General features: G+C 44.6%; 1 protein-coding gene across 28 annotated transcripts in view, besides 1 other annotated feature; it reads right to left on the bottom strand.

Moving 5' to 3' along the window:
- PDE4DIP (phosphodiesterase 4D interacting protein) overlaps positions 1-23,751 on the bottom strand; it is a 224,583-nt gene that overhangs the window by 9,304 nt on the left and 191,528 nt on the right. For 9 of the 28 annotated variants that reach the window (NM_001377392.2, NM_001350521.4, NM_001395300.1 and 6 more), the window contains 14 exons: positions 21,687-22,122; positions 20,671-20,863; positions 19,983-20,102; positions 18,276-18,804; positions 16,277-16,512; positions 15,218-15,269; positions 13,922-14,145; positions 13,118-13,270; positions 10,937-11,122; positions 7,163-7,414; positions 5,834-5,965; positions 5,052-5,171; positions 3,377-3,566; positions 2,560-2,684 (listed from right to left, as the gene is read on the bottom strand). In NM_001377392.2, coding sequence (NP_001364321.1) covers positions 2,560-2,684; positions 3,377-3,566; positions 5,052-5,171; positions 5,834-5,965; positions 7,163-7,414; positions 10,937-11,122; positions 13,118-13,270; positions 13,922-14,145; positions 15,218-15,269; positions 16,277-16,512; positions 18,276-18,804; positions 19,983-20,102; positions 20,671-20,863; positions 21,687-22,122 — 2,948 coding nt within the window. The remainder of the gene's footprint in view (positions 1-2,559; positions 2,685-3,376; positions 3,567-5,051; positions 5,172-5,833; positions 5,966-7,162; positions 7,415-10,936; positions 11,123-13,117; positions 13,271-13,921; positions 14,146-15,217; positions 15,270-16,276; positions 16,513-18,275; positions 18,805-19,982; positions 20,103-20,670; positions 20,864-21,686; positions 22,123-23,751) is intronic. The other 19 variants (NM_001395305.1, NM_001395304.1, NM_001395310.1 and 16 more) reach the window with 8 other exon arrangements.
- Positions 6,701-7,900: an enhancer, noted in NCBI's record as "BRD4-independent group 4 enhancer chr1:144867459-144868658 (GRCh37/hg19 assembly coordinates)". NCBI's record gives its function as "activates an origin of replication core promoter dependent on BRD2, P300/CBP, MED14 and CDK7 cofactors, and independent of BRD4, by STARR-seq in HCT116 cells {active_cell/tissue: HCT116}" and the evidence as "EXISTENCE:reporter gene assay evidence [ECO:0000049][PMID:35650434]".

The raw sequence follows: 23,751 nt of genomic DNA, 5'->3' as shown, positions 1-23,751 counted from the left end.
CATGTACATATATATGTGCACACATATACATGTACATATATATGTGCACACATATACATGTACATATATATGTGCACACATATACATGTACATATATATGTGCACACATATACATGTACATATATGACATGTACACACATATATATACATGCACATATATATAAATATATATATGTATATATATTTACCTCCATTCACCACATGGCTATTTCTTTGTACTGGGGATGAAGAGATCTAAGAAATATTCTACGAGGCTACAATCCCTTATCTGAAAACCTTAAGGCCAAATGTATTTCGAAAGGTAAAATTTGTTTTAGTTTTTAGCAAGGCAACAGGGTGCATATATCATATATAACATGTACCCAGTTGCATGTGAGCCACAATCCTTTATCAAACATATAACTATTTCCGCAATGAGCTATGTGAATATTCTAAGTAGATAAATAAAGACTTATGAATATCCTCATGTCAGATCATCTAGATTTTGTCACTAAATGAGTATTTGAAAAATTTAATTTGGAAATCTTACTGGATTTTGAAATTACAGATAAGAGATTATGGAGCTTTAGTGGTTGTAGCTTTGAAATGAGTCCTAAAAGGCAGGGAGAAAAGCATGAAAGGAAAGGTAGCTCAGGATGAACCAATTTTAGGGACTTTGGTAAATAATCTACTCTTGAATTTTGCCCAAAGTTTTATGATGTTCCTCTCTCTCTTTCTCAACCCAACTTCTCACTAAATTTTGCTTATTTTTTAAGAGATGTTTTAAAATCTATCTATACCCTTTCATCTTCCCAATAGCACCTTATATTAGACTGTCATCTCTTAATGTGCCAGAATATCACTAGACCCATCCAATACGTTTCCCAGATTCTAATGTCTCCCAATTCCAGGACATCCCCTAAGACTTAGCATCCTAAAGTTCTGTTTTCATCATATGCTTATCTTCTTTGAAAAAGAACAGACTTAGTTTCATTATCTACTATACAGAATGTCAACTTTTACCCTGACCTGTGAGCTTTCAAGATTTGGTGACTCTGCTCCACCATCCTGACTTCTCACTCCAACCTCAAGCTTCTCCTGTGGTCAGGCTGGTCCCACTGACCCAACACTCACCATGACTGTGTACTTAAATTATTCTCCCAGCCTGGTGAGCCCCCTCTATTTCTTCAGGTTCCAGTTCACCTTCTCTTTAGAAAATCAGGAAACTAAATCAGGATTTATGATAATTCTAATCTAACTTCCACTGCCCTTCACTCTTTGTTTAGCCTTCTGGAGGGACATAAAATACATGAGTTCTTTTTCACCTGACACTTCTTCAAATATCCGAAGCCAGTTCTCATGTCCTCAAGATCTTTTGAAAGCCTACATTTCTTTAGTTTCTTTGACTAGTTGGAGATTTCTGGTCCACACCATTGTGCGCCCTGTCTTCATTATGTTCCCTAGTGTGTCAACGCCCTTTTCAAAGATGGTGCCCCTTAATCTAACAATATTTTAGACATGGTCTCCACAGGCGAACATCACACTTACACTACTGTAGTTCCAGTTTGAGCTGGCATTTCTAGCAACCTTTGTCCTACACCTTACTTGTGTGAACATGTTTCTACCAAACCCCAAACCCTCATGTCCATGAATGGCTGCCTGTCCTATATTTCTACCCTCATCCTATATTTCTACCACTGATATTTTTAATCAAGCTCAGGATTTTGCTTTTTATCTTTGCTAAATTTCACGACATTGATGTCGTCCTCTGTTCCAGCCTGCTGTGACTTATTCACATTATGTTTTGAATACCCTTCTCCATTTAAAGAATGAAGAAATATATCAAAATTCTCAAATATTAGATTATTATTTCAGCAGGCAGCAAAGTCTTCAATAAATGTCCTTAATATTTAAATCCAGGATTGAAATTTAGGTCCTATTAGTGGTATTTCTATAAGGTTTTTTTGTTTTTGTTTTTGTGTCTTTTAATTTTCTCCTGTGGGCAGGCTGGTCCCCACTGACTCAACACTCACCATGACTTTGTACTTAAGCTATTCGCCCAGCCTGGTAAGCCCCTGTATTTCTTCAAATTCCAGTTCACCTTCTCTTTAGAAAATCAGGAAACTAAATCAGGATTTATGAAAATTACATGAGAGGGCAATAAGCTGAGCGCCAGATGTCACTAGGGAAAGGGTCAGGGTGGGAGCGGACTGCCTGCTGCATTGGGCTGAATGGGTTGTCAGTATGTATCACCGACAATATTAAAGGCCTTTTCAAATGATGATATCATTAGGACAGTTCTTTTGCTTTCAAAAATGTTACAATCTAGACATTGATAGGAATGTCTAGATTTTCTTAAAGTAATTAGGAATGATCAGGCCGGATCTTGCTCGTGCCACCAACCTGTCCCGTTGGGCTTTGTGTTTGAGAGCTCCTACTGGGAGCCCCAGGCTCGGGTGGGGGTTTCTGCAACAGAACTCTGTAGCTTCCCATGATCTCCACAACTCCCAAAGGAAAGACCTCACTAGCATCCTATGCAAGGGCAAAAAGCTCATGGGGTGAGGGGAGAAGAACACATACCTTTCAGCCCCTTCTTGGAATTGCCATAAAGTGCCTCGTAGATTTGTAGCTCTGACTGGAGGGACTCAAAGAGCTGCTGTTTCTCTTCACACTGTTGCTGCAGGAGAACCAGCTTGTGCTGCAGTCTGACCAGGGAGAGGCAAGGCCCACTGAGATGGCAGAGCTACTCAGCCACACCAGAGCAACAGGCTGAGAGCCAGATGTCAACTCAGAGGGTCATAAAGGGTTACAGTTAGGGTTACATCTGAGCCCCAGATGTCAACTCAGGGGGTCATGAAGACTATCACTTTTATTTCGCAGATATGGAAATGGAGGCTGAGGGAGGTCAAGTAACTTTGCTTGAAAACACACCATTACCTACATTAGTTCAGAGCAGAACAGACACACCAGCACAGTCTCCTTACTGTTCCTACAGTGCTCTTTGCATTCTGACAAGCAGTTACAGGGCTTATGCTGGGACCAAGCATCACAGCCAGTATAGAAGCTTCCTAGGTGATGGTGAGACTAATGTCCTATATCTAATTGGAAGCATGGGAACCCTTCTTTTTCATGTCTCTGATATACTGAAGACTTCTATAACAGAGTTTTACTCTCTCAACTTGGGAGTGACAAGGCATTCCCAGAGAAGTCCTTTCTTCTGCTCAAAGCGCCCCTCCCCCCACCCCACTGACACACAAAAATCAGGAATAGCAGAGGGAACATTTAGGTTTCCAAAAGAGGACATCAATTGTCTTGCCAATATCCCTTCCTCTTGTAATGTAAGAATGAATGTAAGAATGAAGAATGCTACCTTCTCTGTCAATGGGTCCCCTCTTACCTGGAGTCGTTTTCCTGGAGGGAAAGACGTTCCTCCCTGAAATGCAAGACCTCTTGCTGCTTCTCCCTCAAGTCTTCCAAAAGCTGCTGCCTTTCCACCTTCTGGTGCTCCAGCTCCTTTTCCAGCTCTTGAAGGTGGGATCGAGAGGACAGCAGAGCCTCCCTCAGGCTTTCTGTTTCCTGGGAGTGCTCTGGTGAGAGGAACACAGGATTGATTTATTATCATGGGGCCAGAGCTCAGCTGGAAGATGACCCCAAGCACATCCACCCTGACAGACAGAGCTAAGGAGCAGGGAAGGAAGGCCCTATGTTGGTGGGAAGAGCATGCTGGCTCAACATCCCCCAGAGCCTGGAGCATGGTGCCTCTCTCTCTTTGCAAAACCCTTCATGCCACTTATTTAATCTGTCCTACCTTGCTCTTAGAGAAATTCTGCTTTCTAATGATCACCACTTTCCAAGTGCTCACATATCGTCTGTTCAATAATCCATTCTTGAATTTTGACAAAGATCAACGTCAAGATTTCTTTTTGGATCTCATTTTCATTATTTTGAAAACTGAGATTTTTTGTTTTTGAACTTGCAGCACTTCTCTGATCTTCACAAGTTGTCAAAGATTATTGAAGGGACTCTAAAAATACAGCTGCAGGCTCAGTAAGTCCTCTGGGGAAAGAGTCACCTGAGCCTGGCAAATTGTACTCGTTTAAATCTCTTACTGTCTTCTCACCTGCTGAGGTCTGTTCTATTCTCTCCAAGCATGCAATGGTAGCTCAGTAGTTCTGCCCTCTTTCTTATCTGTTAACTTTTGTTATCGTCCCCCAGCAGTGACCTTTCCTCTCAAATCTTCTCGCTAATACAGAAATCAATTAATTAAATTAATTAATTTGGGTGGCTAATTTAGAAATATCTCTTGGTGGCTTTTTCCTTTTCCACAAGCATTCCTTCATTCTGGGCTTAATCCTTTTGGATACTACCCTCAGTCTTTTCATGGCTGTTCATAAATATTTGTGAATAAAAATACTTTGTTATCGATAATACATTGATCTGATCAAGTAGACTAACACCAAGGTCAGCTGCCTCCCAGCCACACGAGAAATGATGCCCACCTGTGAGCGCCCCCTGGCTAGGGCTGGGAAAGTGCTGGGGGGCATTTGCTAGTGCCACTCGGCATGGAGTCATGGGAGTACTGACCAGAGGGAAGCCCTGAGTCTATGAGTGAGAGATGTGGTGAGGAGGCAGAGGGATGGCACAGCAGGGCCAGGAGCGACACATGCTGCTGCAGTAAAGTCTGGAGAAACTTGAGAGGGAAGATAGGCATTCGCACTCCCTCCTTTATTGGTTCCAAGTCAGTTGTGAGTGAAGGGAGGTAGAGCAGATACCAGACTGGTATCCAAATTGATAGCTTGTGACTCTGGATATATGCAGGTGGGCTTGTACAGAAATGATGGATTTCCTAGAGCTCTTCGCTTCTGGGGACTAGGAGTCTGAGGGGCCCATAGTTGGAACATCTTAGAAAGCAGCCTTCTCTAGACTGAGAATAGCTGTGAGTTTGGGTTGGTGGATCTGAGTAGCTCTGTTACCTCTACCTTCTTCTGTTTGCTTCTCCAGTTGGTGATTAGTGTGGCCAGGGAAGAAAGAAACTTAAGAGTGACCACAGTTTGTGGGTTTTGACCACGTACCTCTGGAAACATGACTCAGTTGAGCCTGAAGTCTTCGATTGTCTTCCCTGAGGACTCTGTTCTCATTGCAGAGCTGAGGTATGGACTCCAGGCCCTGACTGTAGAAGTTAGAAGTGGATCCTGTCCCAGAAAGTAGACATTTGGGTAACAGAAACTTTCAAAAGTTTCCCATTCGTTATCTCTCAAAGATACTGCCCCAACCCAGCAGAAAACCCCAAGGACTGAAGGCCTGGCCCTGAATGAAGCGTGGGGGGCTGGGTACATGTTTTCTGTGTGCCTCTTCTCAGTGGATTCTTTGCGTGCATCATCACATGCCGTAACTGCAATGGTGCAGGAGGCTCGATCTCCCTAAACAGCTGCTGCTGTGGTATAGGCAGGACAACAACATATGGAAAGACTGGCCTCCACATGACAGCAGCTTGGAAGGAGAGTGTAAGGAGAAAGGCCACCTTGGTAAAGAGGCGAGGGTAGAGGTGGGAGGACCCTTACAGACCTGGTTCCACCACTTATCAATCACACAACAAAGGCACAGACATCAGCAGTATATAAGCAGATTAAGTATGGGGTGAGAAGTCAGGTGACTCTGGGCATCAGACGTAGTTCTGCCTTAAAGAGAGTTACTCTCTAAACTCAGATATATTCAGAAAGTAGGGATGACAGTACTTGCCCACCTCCCTTGCTGGACTGTTCATAAGGAGCGAGTGAAGTAAAGAATATCTGTGAAGCTCTGCCTAAAAGTCCCTAAATAGAGCCAGAAACAGGAAGGTCTGGGCCTCTCCTACCCCTTCCACGAGCAGTAGAGGTCAGCCGGTGTTCCAGTTGCTCCCGTAGGCGGTCATTGATGCAGATGGATTCCTCCAGGCGCTGGCGCAGGTTCCGGATTTCACCAAGATGCTCTTCCAGCAGGTCAGCCCCTGCGGCCAAACCACCAGGACATGAAGAGAGGTGGGAGATGGAGAATCCTGGTTACTGATGGGGGTGGGGCTCGGCTAGGGGACCTGCAGCAAGACCTGTAAATATCACTAGCCTTCTGCCAACTGTGTCCTCTCACACGGACACCCAAAAGAATGGTAGTTTTGTTTAAACAGTCAATGTGCTTTCAAACACATGACAGTCACTTGCTAAAAAATCTCCATGGGCCTCCTCCCACACAGGGGTCTTGTGAGAGTTCCACGTTTTAGAAAAATAACTGAGGGCTCTGGACAAGGCCTGCCTAGCATCTGGAAAGGTGTGGCCACCTCCTGGGTGTGACTATGAGGATGATAGGTGAGACCTCACTCTACCTTTCTTCTTACTGACACGTGAGTGAGCATTCTTTAGCAAGGGACAAAGCCCTTCCTCCCACCCTTAGAAAGAAGGCCTAAAGTAAAAGTACGTGATCTTACACTCACCCTATGCGGTTAATGACTGACACTGAATGCTTCCCTGAAATCACTTTTAATATGGAAGATGAAAGAATAGCCTGGAAGGATCTAGAGATCTGAAGGCAAATTAGAGAGGGGATGACACCCCCCTTCCCCCTGCCAAACAAAGCAAAAATATCCAGAAAAGTCAGACGGATGCTTACACCGGACATTAACTGCACCATTTTGCTTTGGGCTCAGTCTTTTCCTGAAAATTACGATTGTCTTACTGTTGGAACTGCGCGGCATCTCAGCATTTATGAGCTTAGCTATACCTCTCCACTTGCTGTGACTGAATTTTGTGCACAGGATATATTTGCAGGGTCAGGGAGCTGCACCCTTACACCCTTTCCTGTGACAAGTCCTGACTGATGGAAGAAAGTCCCATCTATGCCTGGCATTCTGGAAGGGTCTAAGAGAGTGGGCTGCAAAGAGGCCAGGCTGCAGAGGGATGGAAGGACATGAGTGTGACAGCACAAGAGGTGGGTCCCTGACTTTCCCATATCCCTACAGAGCACTGAGGCCCTGGGCAGGAGAATGAAGAAATGTACTTGGAAAGGATTGAGCCCTGATACAGCTCTTGCATTTTATATCCACTCTGTGAGCCAGGGATGGAGGAGGAATGAAATAGTCCTGCCTGGGTAGGAAAAGAGTAGACTCCAAATGAGACTTCTTTTCAAAGGCTGCCATCTCTGCTTTGTGCTTTACCTGTGGGTTTGGAGTTAAGCTGGTACACAGAGGAGCCTGAGGATAGGTCCCCAGATACACTCCCTTTCTGAGGCCTCATCACATCCCACTTGCCACTGCTGCCCAGGTACCCAGGCTCTAGGATTCTTCCCAGTTCTATGGTGCCCCTTGGAGGAGAGTGAGGCTGGGCAGAGTTGAGGTAGTAGGAAGAGTCGGCTTCCAAGTCGTTGCTCAGCAATGTAGCTGTGGAAGCAGGAGGAACAGTGCTGGCACCTGGGCAGAAAGAAACATTAGTAAGAAGCAAATGGGGTGTCAGAAGGGAAGAATTTGCAAGGAAGTGTGTGATTGCTAAGAATAGAGACTAAAAGGAGACATGTGGAATGTCAGAGATCCCAGTTCACTTTGGTATACTAATTAGACTAAGGCTTGTAACCTAGAGGTTGTAACTCTCACCCTTTGTATTTCCTAGCAGGAGACACAAGAGGTAGAGAATAAAGTATCTTAAAGTCATCAGTATATACAATGGAAAAGTCCAGTGGCCCCACTCCTGGATCCTACTATAATCCTTCATGACAGACTCCAAGGAAAGTTCTAAAAGTAGGATTCACTCCCACAGTTAGAAGTTGTGAGTGCAGTGGAATGCAGGATTGAGCTTACCTGTGAACACGAACATCTGTTTGTCTACATGTACTTGCCTTCCCCTGAAACTAACTAGTCAATATGTCCGTTCCACGTTGGAGTTTTTCAGAAGAGAAAGGGGACATGAAATCAAGCTGGATATGGTGGCCCTAGTTCCTCCAGACTGAAGAACTCTTTGCTGAGGCTGGGGAAGGGCCTATGTAAGGCAAGTATTTATTTGGATCCCATCCAACATGACTCAAGGAGCTGCAAAATGTCATCACTCCTGTCTAAAGAATCATTGAATACTATTCCACAGAGGCAGGTAGGACCTTTCATTTAATAGGCTGATACTTTCATAGATCCTTTGAAATCATAGGCCTTTCCCTTGAGCCCCATCATCTCCACTTCTCTGTAAAAAGAAGCCTAGCATGGGGGAGATGAGGAAAGAGGTGGGCAGAGACACAGTTTAGGAGAAAATTCAGAAGCCTGCTTTCTTTCAGGGATTATGAACATGGGCAGCAGAATAGACAGGTAGCTCCTCCTAAGCAACAGGAGTGAGGTCATTGTTTCTTCCATCCAAGCCAAACTCCTTGGAGGGGTTAGTGTAAATGCCACTTGCCAGTTTTTAGCCCTACTTGTAGCTGGTTCTCAAATGTGGGTACATATTGGAATCACCTGAGAAAGTATGGAAACATATACTGATTCCTGGATTCCAGAGATTTTGCCTTAGTCTATATGGGATACATCTTGAACAATGGATGTTTTAAATTCATTTTAGGTAATTCTAATAGGCAGAAGTTTGGGAAGTCTTGTCATGAGTCTCTCTTCTAATTTGCAAAATACTAGATGTTCATTAGGATCACTTAGTTAAGGAAGAAGGTTAAAAATTTAAGCACCTACATTTTAGAAGGAATGCAACAAATACATGATTTCCTACCTCTTTCAAACTGCCTTCAACCCCATCCGAACACAAGGCAAAGGGAGAAATCAGTGGTTGCAGATAGTCAGCTTACTTTTTAATCAAGGCCATGTGAGGTTTTAAGTCTATCAGTAACAATGATCAGTATTCTCATGTTCCAGTCCATTGGCCACACAATACACAGTACATGCTCTAAACCATGCAAAGATACCATACAGACTCTTGCACAAGATTTTAACCCAGGGACCTGAGAGGCCACCATGCACCACTGTCCACACGGAAACTTGGCTCAAAGCAAACAATGAGCATGTATAAGCAATGGTCCCTTGGAGAGGACCTTGACTTCAGGTGGAGAAAGAAAGGGCTACAATCTTCCTCATCTAGGCTGGGACCATTTGAACTCCGGTCAATGGCCTCAGACTTGATGTAATTCCAATTTAACCCAAAACAACAGACCCTTTTTCATGGACAGTGCTCTCCTTCCATCCTTCCGTTTGGGCAAAGACAAATGGACAAATGTGGAAAGATAAAGGAAAAGGAGGCAAGATAAAGAAATGGAAGCTAGAAAATACTCTTGCCATTTGTCATGGGACACATTTGTTGCCCATTCATTGTTGGTGCCAGAACTGCTAAAATAACAAGTTTTAGGTCAGAAACAGCAGCACTTCCTACTGGTCTCTAAAGAGAGGGAAAAAATTGTTGCAACGAGTCCCCAGAGTTTGATCAGCTGAGCTCAGCTCCATACTCTAAGCAGGATGGTGACAAAGCCATCCTAAGTAGAAAAGATATAACAGAAACATAAAACCTGGAGCAGAAGACCAGATTCAACCCCATCTCTCCCACTTACCAGTGACCTTGAACAAGTAACTTCACTTCCCTGAGCTTTACAGTTCCCTGCATTAGACAAAGTACCCATTTCCTGGGTTGACAAAATAAATAGGCTAAGCTGGGTGCAGTGGCTCATACCTGTAATCCCTGCACTTTCAGAAACCAAGGTGGGCCAATCACTTGAGCTCAGGAGCTCTAGACCAGTCTTGGCAACATGGCGAAACCCTGTCTCTACAAAAAATACAAAAATTAGCCAGGTGTGGTGACACACACCTGTAATCCCAGCTACTTGGGGGGCTGAGGTGGGAGAGTCGCTTGAGCCCAGGAGGTAGAGACTGCAGTGAGCCGAGATCGTGCCACTGCACTTCAGTCTGCGTGACAAAGTAAGACCCTGTCTCAAAAAAAAAAAAAAAAAAAAAAAAGAGGAAGAAGGAAAGAAATATGCTGGTCCACATGACATTTGGGGCTGTAGGGAGGGGGATGCAAATTCTTGGCTGTTGTCTTGCATCACTAGAAACTTCTGGCATGGTGACCCTATCAGTCTCTGGCTCACCTAAGCTTCTTTACAGGCACAGAAAGTGCCTGACAAATGAGTTTAAGTTCATTCAAACTGCTTTTTAACTGTTGTGCCTAAGGTGCTATGAAAGAGCAAATTCATGTGAAGGTTGTCATTTTTTTCTAAGCTATCAGTGACCACCAGCACACTAAATTTATGATGAGCATCCAGCCTACAAATACATCAAAGCACTTTCTAAAAGGTGACTGTCCACAGTCTACGTAACTACATGAGATCAATTATCTTTGGGAGTCAGAGGATGGGATTCACAGTCAGATGCCATAGCTGGTGCTGTGGTTCTAAGCTGCCTACGTGTCACCTGTCCCAGGGCAGGGACCAACCCTGTGCAGTAGGAAAAGGGGCTCATCATTTCCTCTTCTGAATCCCTCTATCATTACCCTTTTTGCTCCAACCTAATGATATCAGGAACTGAACTTGATTAACAGCATTTCACAGCAGAAAAACATAATAGCCACACAAAGGAGCCCACTGAATGTGGCCATCTTTTTCTTGGCCACTTCATCCTGCATAGGCAAAGCATAACATCTCTCTCCCACCCCCAACCAATGAGCAGTCCACCAGTCTGTCAGGGATTCAGCATACTTGGTGGTATCCAACACTGTCTACAGTGTGAGAGCACCAGGTCTAGAGCCTCGTGAACATATCTACCTGTTAACTGATGAGACATACACACCACAGAAATAACAGTAAATACATTTCCAAAAAATAAGCAAACAGAGCTTTCCCTCCCTCTTACATTTGTAACGTGTACCCGTGTTGTTTTTTTAAACTCTGCCATCCAGCCCGAGCCATGCAGAGCAACACAGTGTGGGGCTGCCAATCGCAAGCACACAAATGCAGAAGTGCTCACTTTCTCCCAACTGCTTCTGCAGCATCTGTAGCTCCTGCTGAGCCTCAGCCAAGGAGACCACTGGTGTCTCACAGCAGCCAAGGAGGAGAGGGCCAGTGGGGCTGAAAGGCAGGAAGCTGGATGGAGCTGAGGGCAATGGTGCCTGAGGAAGGCTAGCCAGCTTGGGTATGGAGTGAAAATGAAAGCCTAGGAAAAGAAAGTTAAGGAGAAAAGAGACACATCATCAAGAGAAAATGAGAGAAAAGAATGGGTAAAAGATTGAGAAGGTAAAAGCATTCCCTGACCAGACATCACCCTGCGGAGTGGCTATCATCTAGTGTGGTACAGGATAAGACAGCCAAGGGTGACCATTGCTACCAGAGGCTGGCCTGGCTGACCTTCCCTCTTCTCCCCTGCCAGGGCTATCCTGCATATATCCTCTGTGTTCATCTTGAAAGCAATTGGCTAAAGAAGGTAAGGTGGCATTATTGAGCCCCACCCCAGCAATCCTGGACATGGACAAGTCAGAGAGCCTGAATGCTTTCAAGGGCCCCTGGGGCTCTGCTCCCAGCATGTATCAGTCCTTGGCCCTGGGACAAGACTCTTTCTCTACCTAGAACTCCTCTTTGACAGCATCAGGTCCCATCCTGAGTAGGAGAGATGTGAACAAAGGCTGTGGGGAAATTTTCATTACTAGTGCATGCAGTTCAGGACTCTGATGGAAACAAACTTCAGAATTCCAAATCAACGTGTTCATTGACCAAATTAAAAATAGATGCCTTGGTAGAGTGGCTTAGACAAAATGGCTTGCAAATCCTTCTGGGCATTTAAATCACATAGCAAAAACTTCTAATATATGTAGATTCTTTAGGCCTTCTTGATTCTGTCTAGGCCTTAATGTAGACTTACAGAATTATAAATTCTTGGAACATGAAATTTACATTTAAAAAAAGTCTTCCCTGGTGATCTTTAGGCAGCCCATCTACAGACAGGTTTTTAGAAACCCTGGCAAGGTTCAATGTTTAAAATTGTTTCCTCTTCCCTAAAAGCAATTAAAGGGCAGGTAGCCAATGGAGAGGGAGCAGAAACCAAGGCTGACCCATAGAGAATGTCTAATGTAGAAGACAATGATTATATCCTAAAACACATCCCAATGGTGCTGGCACCATTTCAGATCAATACTGCAAATATACTCAAATTGCCAGGTAACACAGCCCAGGCATTCTTTGAGGAGGCATTCTGATTTTAAAATCCTCTGTTCTTTACCTACTGCTCTGTTTGAACCCACAACATTTAAGCAGATGTCTATAAGTCTGGAAGCACAGCTTTTCCTCATGATTCTGGTCCAGCTGCTGCCTACTCTGGCCTAGAAACTTTGAAACCAGGCTCAGGAAGCATTGGAACACTTCCTCTTCCTTAAGATTTTAGTTGAATTGCTTTCAGGGAAATGAGGGCAGCAGAAGAAAGCACTGTGCTTTCTGGGAGCACCTCTACTCAAGTCAAACCTCACAACAAACCACACTGAAGGCAGCCAGCCAGCTATGGTGGGAGGTAGGAGGCGAAGACAAGGTTTGCCTTTTCTTGCCATCCCTGGTACAGGGCTGTGAATGAGCAGTGTACCCTCCGGCAACTAAGCTGAACTTGTAAATGAAATGCACCCCTTTAACTGCCCCCAAGATATGCACTATGTACATATCAAGGACTGCCAATCCATTCATACATCCATTAATGGTAACGTACTATGAACAGAACCTTGTCTGAGGCTGTTCTCACCATCCTTGGCTACAAGTAGCACTACCTCTTGCAGAGGATCTCCATGCAGATTTAATGGGTAACACATACAGTGGATCAACAGATGTGAATTTCTTTTCATCCTATGGCTGTTGTAATCCTGGGAGAAACATTTTGCCTCTTTGCTCCCAGGATAAAATGAGAGAAAACCAATAAAAATGTTTCTTTTTAAATGATTAGCCAACTACTGGTCAGAACTGGTATGCAGATCAAAACCTGATGTGGATTACTTATTTTCTAAAATATTTTCTTAAATCAGACACAACTGGAAAATGAGGATGGTTTCTCGATTCTGTCTAGGTTTTGATGCATTTAGGCCCCTAACAGTCCAAACCTCTGTCGTTGAAGAAAAATCAAACAGGCAGCAGAGAAAGAGGAGATGAAGCTTCTGCCCCATTGGCTGTTGCATACCTGAATGGGCCTGGTTGGCCTCCTTGGGGGTATTCTGGGGAGTTGGCAAGCTGATGGGGTTGCTGTTGGATTCGGCCTTAGCCCCCTGAGATGCACTGGTTGATGATGGTTTAGAAGACAACACAGCAGAATGACTCGAATGATGGATGGAATCTATAAAATCCATGAATGAAAGAAAACGTATGATGTTCTACAGAGAACTGGAATCCTGGCCTTATGTTTACCCAGGGGTACCAGGGCTAGAGTCTTGCTTTCAGGGAAAGAACCAAGCACAAGCACTGTTAGCAGTGTTCATTTTCTTGCTTGCAGACAGCTCCTATAGTGAGGCAAACCACCTTAGGGATGACAGCGGTGCTCTGAGCTCTGAAACATGAAAATGGCAACTCCAAAAATATCAGGCAAGACTAGCAGCATCTGTGGACACCCAAATATACTTAGGGAACACTGCTCAGGAATAAGTAGCAAGATCATTGTAGGAGAGATGAAGGAGGTTTTCCATCTTAAAGAAGATCTATCTGACAGAGTCACCAAGGAAGAAGAGTCTGCCGTGATCTTCTCACTCTCCCCACAGTGGCTCACTTTGTGCCCAACAGCTTGTACGTGCCCATGGAGGCCACGGTGACAGAGGTAACTTGTAGAGTCAGGAGCAGAGCAAAGATCCTGATCCACTGGTGCCTGTGCATGGCACTTGGCCCCACAGCCATGTTCAGCCTGATACACACCATGGTGGAGCTATAAGCCCTGTTTCCTGAGTTCTCCACTCAGCCTAGACAAAGATGGTACCACCCAGAAAGTGGAGGCTACCTGAGTGACTGGGAGAAGCTTTCTTCTCTTCATAGTGTGTGTACTCGCTGACTATGTCCATGTCAGAGCAGGCTTCCAGTTCATCAGACAGGAAAGAGGTGCTGCTGGGAGAGCGGTGGGAGTCAGACAAGGCATGGCTGCTGGAGGGTGTGAGGGACCGAGCATCCAGCTTGGCCTGCAGGACTTCAATCACTTTCTCCTTCTCCTGCAGCTCCCTGCTGAGCCTGGTGGGGAGAAGGGGGACAACGGGTAAAACCAAGGTCACCGAAGCCAACCTGTCCTGACTATGGCTCATAGGAAAAGCCAAGTAAGCCAAGGGGACCATGCCTGCAGATAATTATGGAAATAACCCACCTCTGCTTAGGGATGGAGTGTAGGTGGGGTGTAGATGGAGAGAGAATAGCTACCTAGTGCTCTGGCCACATAATATGCTGAGGACAAGCAAAGACATAGCTAGCCCTCCTTTTAAGGCACTGCTGCTTAATGTATGATCCCTGGAACAGTTGCAGCCTGCGAACTGTTTGTTACCATCTCCAACAAGACAAGTATAAAAATTGAAAGCAAGCATTGAGAAACACAGAACAAACCACTGTCCCAACATCCAAGAGCATGATAAGTGGAATCATGTAATTAACTGAATTCAGACCATATATGTTTCTATGATAGATTAGAAATAAAAACAAAACAAAACAAAAAAAACCACTGTGTCCTTCACTACAGATACTTTCAGAAGCATTTATGTAGTCTGAGACACAAGCATGACACAAAGAACCCCAACTAGTGGCTACAACGGACTCTGAGCCCGTATTTCATTGATCATTATATGAAGCAACTCACTGAGAACTGGGTCCTGAGGCACTGCAGCCTCCTGGTGATCTACACCATCTAGGCCTCTTTCACCAGGTCCTGTTATATGATTCCTTTTTTCCCCCAGGGCAATTGAGTGACTATTAAATTAGCTGTCAACCCAACTTTGGAAAAAGCTCATCCTGCTTATTAAACACACAGCAGGAAAGCAGGACCCTTAGTGGGGCAGAAGACTCTTGAAACCTAGTTAGTTCACTTTTAGCTCAGACTGTTTCTAGGTTACTAAGCCTGGAGAATTAATGTGCCAATATGATTCAACCAAAAGGGAAGAAAGAATTTAGTTAAAAACAACAGTGAGGTGTTCAATGAATGCCTGAATTCAATACATTCAGCACTTTGCTTTATTCCCCTTGATTTGTGGAGTTGCCGCCACCCTTGACCCTTTGGGCCTCGGTCCCAATCTCTTTCCCAGATTCTCCTCTGAATTACCTGAGGGCCAGTGGCTCAAGTCCAGCTTGATCTTTCTCACTTTTATGATCCTCTGTAAACCAAATTTAGAAAGAGACGATAAGAAATTAGGCTGGTCCCACTTCCCGCATTACAAATGCAGGAGCCTATCTGGAGACAGAGTAGTGAGCATTTCATGTGTGCATCCAGAACAGTTATTCTGGGATACCTCAGCTTGTGTCTCTAGAGAAGTGACCCCACTGTCCCTGACCTGCCGGTCACCATGATGACTTCCTCTGCCCTAAATCAGGGTAAAACATTTATAATGTCTTTTGTTCCATTAATCATGAGGCCCTTGCCCAGCTGCCCTGCGGGACACTCCAGCCTCCATGTCCTGCTGCAGACTAGCTCCCCAATGCATATGCCCCACCACAGCTTTCATGCAGAACCTGCACTGGTCTCTGAGGAGATGACAAGAAGCCCTGCCCCACCTCTGCATCTGCCACCAGGTGGTGGGCTGGGTGGCTCCCAAGTCTGATCCTACTTTACTCCCTTGGATAGTCGCTGGAAATTCTGAGTAGAAGACCCCAATAATAACCAATGTAGCCCTTGAACTACTGCAGCCAGTGCCTAAACCATGTATAAAAGAGCATGGCGCTTTATCCATATGTGGAGTACCTGCATGCACATTACCATGCCATAAATGGAGACACCACAAGGATAAGGCATTTAGCGAGTTGGTGGCAGCATCCAGGCCAGAGCTTGAGTCTTGTAGTTCTTGGTTCAGGGCTCTTCCTCCTATAACAAAGCCCTTCCATCTCATGTCCCCTACTCCCTCTTAGCATCAGAGAGATGCTGCCCCTGCCCCACAGGTCACATTCCATTAGTGGTGAAGTTTCTATAGTTGTAACCATGGCATCTCCAGCCCTGTGTTTTCCTCTCCATGCTCCCCACTGAGCAGTCTTGATCCTGTATTAGCCCCAGGAAATGAAATAGAAACAGGACCTTAGGATAAAAAGTTGCAGTGGAGATGTGGTGGCCACCAGGGGCTGGAACTGTGGGGGTGACTGAGAGTATTCCAAAGCCCTGTGGCCAACTTACTGGTGCTGAGTTTGCTGGTGAGCCTCTCTGTCAGCTGGCTTCCCTGGGCGAGTTGCTCCCGGAAGCTCTGTCCCAGGTAGTAGTCAATGTCATTGCTCCTTAGGAGATCCTCAAAAGATTTTACTGTATCTTTTGCATGCCGGGTGATAAGATAACAAATACCTCTCCCTTCTCGTATTTTTTGCCGTAGGTAAGACAGTTCCCGGGCCTGATCCTGAATCAGGGAATCATATTTCCTAATGCAGGACAGAAGAGGAAAGTGTAAGTATGGAAAGAGTGGAAGCTAACTTATGGAGTTATGGGGGCTTCTGTAGAGATTTCTATGAGAACATCTCTAAGGAACTCCCCCAAGCTGAATTCTGGCACATAAGCCATAGGAGGTATTTAAGAGTAAATTCTACCCTGATAAAGTATTGCATTAAAAAACTTAGTACGGGCCGGGCGTGGTAGCTCACGCCTGTAATCCCAGCACTTTGGGAGGCCAAGGCAGGCAGATCACAAGGTCAGGAGTTTGAGACCAGCCTCGCCAATATGGTGAAACCCTGCCTCTACTAAAAATACAAAAAAAATGAGCTGAGCATAGTGGCACATGCCTGTAATCCCAGCTACTCGGGAGGCTGAGGCAGGAGAATTGCTTGAACCTAGGAGGTGGAGGTTGTAGTTAGCCAAGACGGCACCACTGCACTCCAGCCTGGATGACAGAGTGACTCCGTATCAAAAAAAAATTTAGTATGTCACTGTTCTTCAACTGTTATACATGTGTTAATTATATGTCCCTAGATAAATCATAAGGTCTGTGAGAATAAACATAGTTCTGCATTTTACATCCCTTACAGCACCAGTATCACATAGATTCACAGCAGTTACTCAATGAATAATTAGCATCATTTCATCCTAAGTCTAGATAGAACCTTTCATGCCTTCTGTTTTAACCACCACCTGATGCCTGAATTTCTTCTATGTTACGATACTGTGGCTGACTACATTTTGCAATGATGGCCATCATTTAAACGCTCATACCATCAACTGATGGGACCCAAAACAAGAGACCCTAAGTGAGAACCACCCAGCTGAGCCCAGTCAAACCATAGAACCATGAAGCATAATAAAGTGTTGTTTGAAGTCACTAAGTTTTAGAGTGGTTATTACTTAGCAATAGATAACCAGGACACACCAAGATGAATGTCTGTGTTTTCAACACTAAGTATCAATAACACTTATAACTATGGCAAATAGCATTGAGAGCTTAACATATGCTAGGCACTATTCTAAGCACTTGTATTAATTCTTTTTTTTTTTTTTCCGAGACAGACTCTTGCTCTGTCACCCAGGCTGGAGTGCAGTGGTGCCATCTCGGCTCACTGCAACCTCCACCTGCCAGGTTCAAGCGATTCTCCTGCCTCAGCCTCCCGAATAGCTGGGATTACAGGTGTGCACCACCATGCCCAGCTAATCTTTGTATTTTTAGTAGAGATGGGGTTTCACCGTGTTGGGTAGGCTGGTCTCGAACACCTGACCTCAGGTGTTCTACCTGCCTTGGCCTCCCAAAGTGCTGGGATTACAGGCATGAGCCACCACGCCTGGTCAGCAGTTGTATTAATTCATTTAAACCTAATATCCACCCTTTGAGATGGGTTCTCTTATCATCCTCATTTAATAGGTAAGGACAAAGGCTCAGAAAGGTTAAGAAGGTTGCATGGGTAGTAAGCACCAGAGGTAGGTAGTCTGATTCCAGTATTACTACTATACTATACCATCTTTACTAATATATCCCTAAGAGGAAATCCCTGAGACCCGGTATCTCCCAGATACTGGAACATCATCCTATGCCCTCCTGGTTGCCTACCTGTCTTTTCTGCAGACCTGTATCTACCATTTAAATCAGTGTCCCTGTGAATACCCAGACATGTTCTTTCTTCCAACTGCCTGAGCTACCCTACGCCAAGCATGAACTTACACATTTTCAATCAAGAAAGTACCCAAACAGTGCCATCCTTACCCAGGCCACGAGGCTGATCTCAGCTCCTCAGCCAGCTTCTCTTCTAGTCCATTTTTTGGGAGCTGGGCCTCCAGCTGGGATACTCTCTGGATGAGACTCTCCAGGTCCTTTTTGGCCTGAAGCCCTGGAGAGTAGAAAGCCCCAGTGCCATCAGACAGCCACCCCTCATCCTCATCAGGGACACTATGAGGTGAAGACCCCTCCAAGGTGCCAACAGCTCTCAGCTTCCGGGGTCTTTCCAGACTAGACGAATAATCACTTGTAACTGAGAGGGACCGGACCCGGCTCTTGAGGTTTTGAATGACCTTGTTGGCATTCTGCAGCTGGGCCTTCAGATCTTTGATGTCCTTTCGTAGGACCAAGATGTTTTCTGACTTTCCATATACCCGGAACTCTTCCTGCTTCCCTAGCTGGTTCTCCAAGGGCTTCCTCTCAGAGGAACTAGCCAGTGTTGAGCCCCGGCGTCCCTGCTCAGAGCACAGCCCCTCCATCAGGACCATTTCCTTGAGGCTGTTGTGCTCCTCACACTCTGAAAAAAGACAAAGATGTCTTCCTAAATAAAAGTTGGATGTGCTGTTGTGGCCACTGCCTTTGAGAGGAGGCAGGTTTGGTCATGAGGACAATAATTACTAGGGAAAAAGTTGAAGTAGTACTTTATTCAACCCTGACACTGTACTAGGCATTCAAATACAATATTTCTTATCTTCCTTATACCTACAAGTTAGGTTTCATCACTTTCTATTTTACTGACTGGGAAACCAAAACTTAAAGAGAGGTGGTAAACTAGCTTGTTCTAGATCACTCAAACTAGCACATGGCAGAGCCAGAATTCAAATCCTCCAATGTCCTGTGTTCATTCCACACACACTGGTGTTTCTTAAGACATTAACATGGCCTTATCTATTTAGGATGGCCACAAGAATGTAGGACAAGCTATTACTGCATGCTGAAAGTTTAATGCTCTTTAAATTTTACTATAATTTAAAAGTTTATTGGGTTACAACTGTATGAAAAATAGGCATAGGAAAATAAGGCTTCAAATAAATATATCAGCATGTTAACATCAGTGTATTAGGGCAGTGGTAGTCAGAATGAGAACTAATCCATGGCATTTTACCAGATGCCAGGCACTGTTCTAAAGCATTTTATAAGAATTTACTCATTTAATTGACCTTAGTACCTGATGGGGTAGGTAGTTCCTTTATTACTATTTTAACACATGAAGAAACTGGGACATAGGAAAGTTTTCAAACTGGGATTTGAACCAACCAGTCTGGCCCCAGGATCTTGTCTCTTAACTGCCACACTACACTGCCTCAAGAATGAGAGAGATTGTGTTTTTCTTCTCTTCTGGTTTTCAATGTGGTGGGTGGCCCTATAGTTGTAGTCTTTTTATAATGCAAAACAAAATTATTTTTAATTTATGGCTTGCATGTTTCTAAAACCTTATCTGGTCTCTAAGTAGGCCTTAGTATTTCTATAATAATCAGTTGGATAGAATTTTATATTATTATTGTTATTAGCAGTATGCCAAAAACTAATTGTAGAAATTCAAACTTATACTCAGCCTCATTTTGGGTAAGATTTCTCCTATTAACCTCCTGTCCTCCTCTTCCCCAATACTTGTCAGGTGTGGAATTGGCCAACAGCATCCAAATGTGACAGCTGACTCCAGGGAGGGGTGAGCCCCACACCCTGTGCTCTTACCAGGACTGGTGGTTTCCTCCCGTTCAGCCTCATTCTCGCTTCGGCCACAAGTCTCATAGCCCAGGTCCTGGAGGTCCACCTGGATCTGCTTGCTGTCCTGCTTCACCAAGGATTCACCTGCTTGGGAAGAGAAGCAGGTGTTACAGAATGTCTGAATTTCCCACATATGCCCTCAGCCTCAATGGCACATACCCTAACCTTTTGAGGCACGGAAGGCAGATCCACAGTGGGAGAGAAGCTTCTCTGAACTGGTGGGAGAAGAGATCACCAGCTCCAGGAAGCAGAATTTCTTTCCAAAGGAGGAGCCTGCATTTGCCATTATCTCCCCTTCAGATAACCCAGGCTTTAGTTGGGACCAGATATCTGTAAGTCAGGGATTGTACACTATCATCTCTAGCAGCCCCATTGAAGCTGGCAAGTGCTTTATCCGCAGGGGTTCAATAAATGTTGAATGGAGCTGAACTAATTTAGAGTCCCAAGACCCTAGACCTGTACTGTCCAATAAGGTAGTTAGCAGCCACATATGGCCACTTTATACTACATCAACTAAAATTAAATAAAACCAAATGTCCAAGTTGCACTAGCCACACTTCGTGTGCTCAATAACCACGTTATGTCGGTATAGAACATACAGAACTTATAAGACATATAGGCTAGTTTTCTTTACTAGTAAGTCATAGTTACTTACTAAGCATAACTCTGTATTTCTCCAGCTCGTTAGCCTGAGCAAAGACAGTGGCTTCTGATAGCAGCAGCTTCTCCTGGAGATCTTGATAGCGTTGTTTGCATTGTGACAGCTGGGAGCGCAGGTGCTGGGTGGACCCTGGTAGGCTAAACGCTGACTGAGGCCCAGGGTCACGAGGCTGGGACTGGTTATCCAACTGTGAAAGGGGCCAATACAGGGATCAGGACAGTCTGAGGTCACCCCCATGCAGTGACGACCACCGCCCCTTCTGAACCCTGTGGACTTTACTCAAGTCTGTCACAGCACTTCTCATGCCATTTGGCAGTGACTTGCTTTCCAGATGGAGCTCCTGGAGCGCTGGGATAATGTTTTCTTCATATCTGTATCCACAGCACACAGCACAGCACCAATCAAGTCTACAGAGGAGCTCTCAGGAAATGTTTTCTCAGTGGTCAAAAAGAGACCACTCATCTCCCCTCACATTCTGTCCCATTGATTCTCTCAGAATCCCTGTATTCTCCATTTCACTGAATCTTCAGCATGGCTCCTTCCCTAAAGAGGATCCCAGTAACCCATCTGAAGCCCAGGAACAGACACCTGTGATGAGCTGTGACAAAAAAATGGCAGTGATAAGGGATGTCATTACATACCACTTGTCTGGGCTGCCTCATAACCTGATGCATCCCTATGTTACAGCAGTTACCACATCCTGTTAAAATTACCTGTTTGTGTGCCATCTTTCCCGACAATATTAAGTATCTCAGGGGCAGCCATTGGTTTTATTGCCCCATGCCAATGCCTAGTGTGTTATCTGAAAAATTAAGTACTCAAGAAATATTTATGTTATAAAAGCCTTTCTAAAGGCTGAATGTAGGCAGAATATTACTATTATTGTTTGTGGTACAAAGAGACCCTTCTCTTGGTACCTCCTGATTCATATGGGAGAATGTTTTAAGGTAAACACTGTCATCTCAAGCCCTTCTCCAATTGTTTTTCACTCAATCTAAGCCCACACTTACTTGGTGGGCATCCACTGTGAAGGTAGCCCCAAGGTCAAGGCTCTGGGGTCTGGGGAAAGGCCTCACAGTCACATTCCCCTCCTCTTGGTGTTGGTGCTTCCCAGGGGAACCAACCAGTTCTGTGTTTATTCTTTCAATGGTGCTGGTCAGATGCACAAGGAGCTCTGGAGTAAGTTTACTATTCCCTTCCTTGCTACTCAGCACAAGTTGTTCTTTGAGGAGGTTGATGATATTGTGGGCATTCTTCAGTTTTCCCTGGAGCTTTCTGAACTCAGCCTGAAGGCTACTCTCACTCAGACCCTCTTTGGTTACCACAGTCTCAACCATCACCTCGCCCTTCTCCTTGTCTTCCTCGATCTCCCATCCATCAGACATTGCTTCTCCCATCTGCTCTTTCAGCTCCGCATTCTCAAGGCAAAGGCTCAGCATGGTGTTCCTGCAGGAAACACACTTAATTGAGGGCTAGGTCTGGTCCTCACAACAGTTCCTAATACTACCTCTTACCAACATCTCAGCCCGCAATTAACTCAGACTTACCCCAGAGCATGAAGCAACCTGAGACCTACCACAGCCCCCTAATTTTATATACAAGAAAGCCAAGGCTCAGGAAAAGTAAGAGACTTGCCCAAACTTCCACAGCTTCTTGGTGGCAGCACCATCACTAGAAACCTTGGACTCAAGACATGCAGGCTAGTTTTCTTTACTTGTGCCCCATAGCCTCATATGTTCTAATTTTTAGTAGCCTCTGGAATAAACCAGAGTACTTACACTGTTAAAAAATAAGACCTTTTCTGTAACAAATTTATTGTTATAAATTTTACAGTTCTATTATTTATCATCAGTCAGTTTCAAACCATTGGGACTTAGGAACACAGAATAAATAAATAACACTAATCAGAACTATTAATATAATCAAAATGTACTTAGATAATTGTTTGCTTTATGTCTGGCTCACGTGATAGAGATAACCTTCTTGAGAGCAGGACTGTGTCTGTCCTATTCATCCCATATCCCCAGTACCTACACAAGTGCCTGCCACATAAATCATTCATATTTGTTGAAGAAATAAAATTGACCAAAACAGCTAATTTGCACCAAGACATTCCAGATAAATTCTTTCCACAACAACAAACTCATACTAGGGTTGAGTGGAAGCAAACATGGCTGTAACAAGTCTATTCACTTAACTTTTTTGAGCCTCAGTTTCCTTTTATATAAAATAAGGATGATAACACTTACCTAGTAGAGTTAGCAGATGCTTAAATGAAATTGCATATACGGTATGGCTAGCTCAGGGTCTAACAGGGAAGTCATTCAATCCCTGCTGTACTAGCTGCAGACCTAAGAAATACCAACAGCAGAATCCCATAAGGTGCTTGTTTAAAAAGCTGTAGAGCTAAGGCCTATGAATCCACATTTTACTTAAGTTCCACAGGTGATTTTTTAATTTTTATTTATTTATTTTTTTTTTTTGAGACAGAGTCTCACTCTGTCACCCAGGCTGGAGTGCAGTGGTGAGATCTTGGCTCACTGCAACCTCCACCCCTGGGTTCAAGCAATTCTGCTGCCTCAGCCTCCCGAGTAGCTGGGACTACAGGCACGTGCCACCACGCCCAGCTAACTTTTGTATTTTTAGCAGCGAAGGGGTTTCACCATGTTGGGCAGGCTGGTCTCGAACTCCTGACCTCAGGTGATCCGCCTGCCTTGGCCTCCCAAAGTGTTGAGATTACAGGCATGAGCCACCATGCCCAGTCCACAGGTGATTCTTAAGCATGCTAAACTGAGAACCCCTGAGCTAGAGGATGCACAGGAAATGGGTAATTCACAACTTGAAGGATCAGCAGTGGGCTATGCACCTAGATTGAATTTCTCAGAATCCAGGAGTCTTGGAACCTACAGCAGAGCTTATCTGGTGTGTTTCTGGGAGGAAAATAGGACATAGGATACAGACAATCTGTGAGATAGTTTCTCAATAAAGAAAAAGGGGATAGGTATTTTACCAAAACTGGGATGTGGAAAGGGGATAAAGAGGGCGCATGTGTATATGGAAAAGAATATTTAATAT

The sequence above is a fragment of the Homo sapiens genome, chromosome 1 (genome assembly GCF_000001405.40).
Source record: "Homo sapiens chromosome 1, GRCh38.p14 Primary Assembly".
Taxonomy (NCBI): Eukaryota; Metazoa; Chordata; class Mammalia; order Primates; family Hominidae; genus Homo; species Homo sapiens.
Note: the sequence above shows the minus strand (reverse complement) of the source record. Positions and strands in the feature narration are given on the sequence as shown.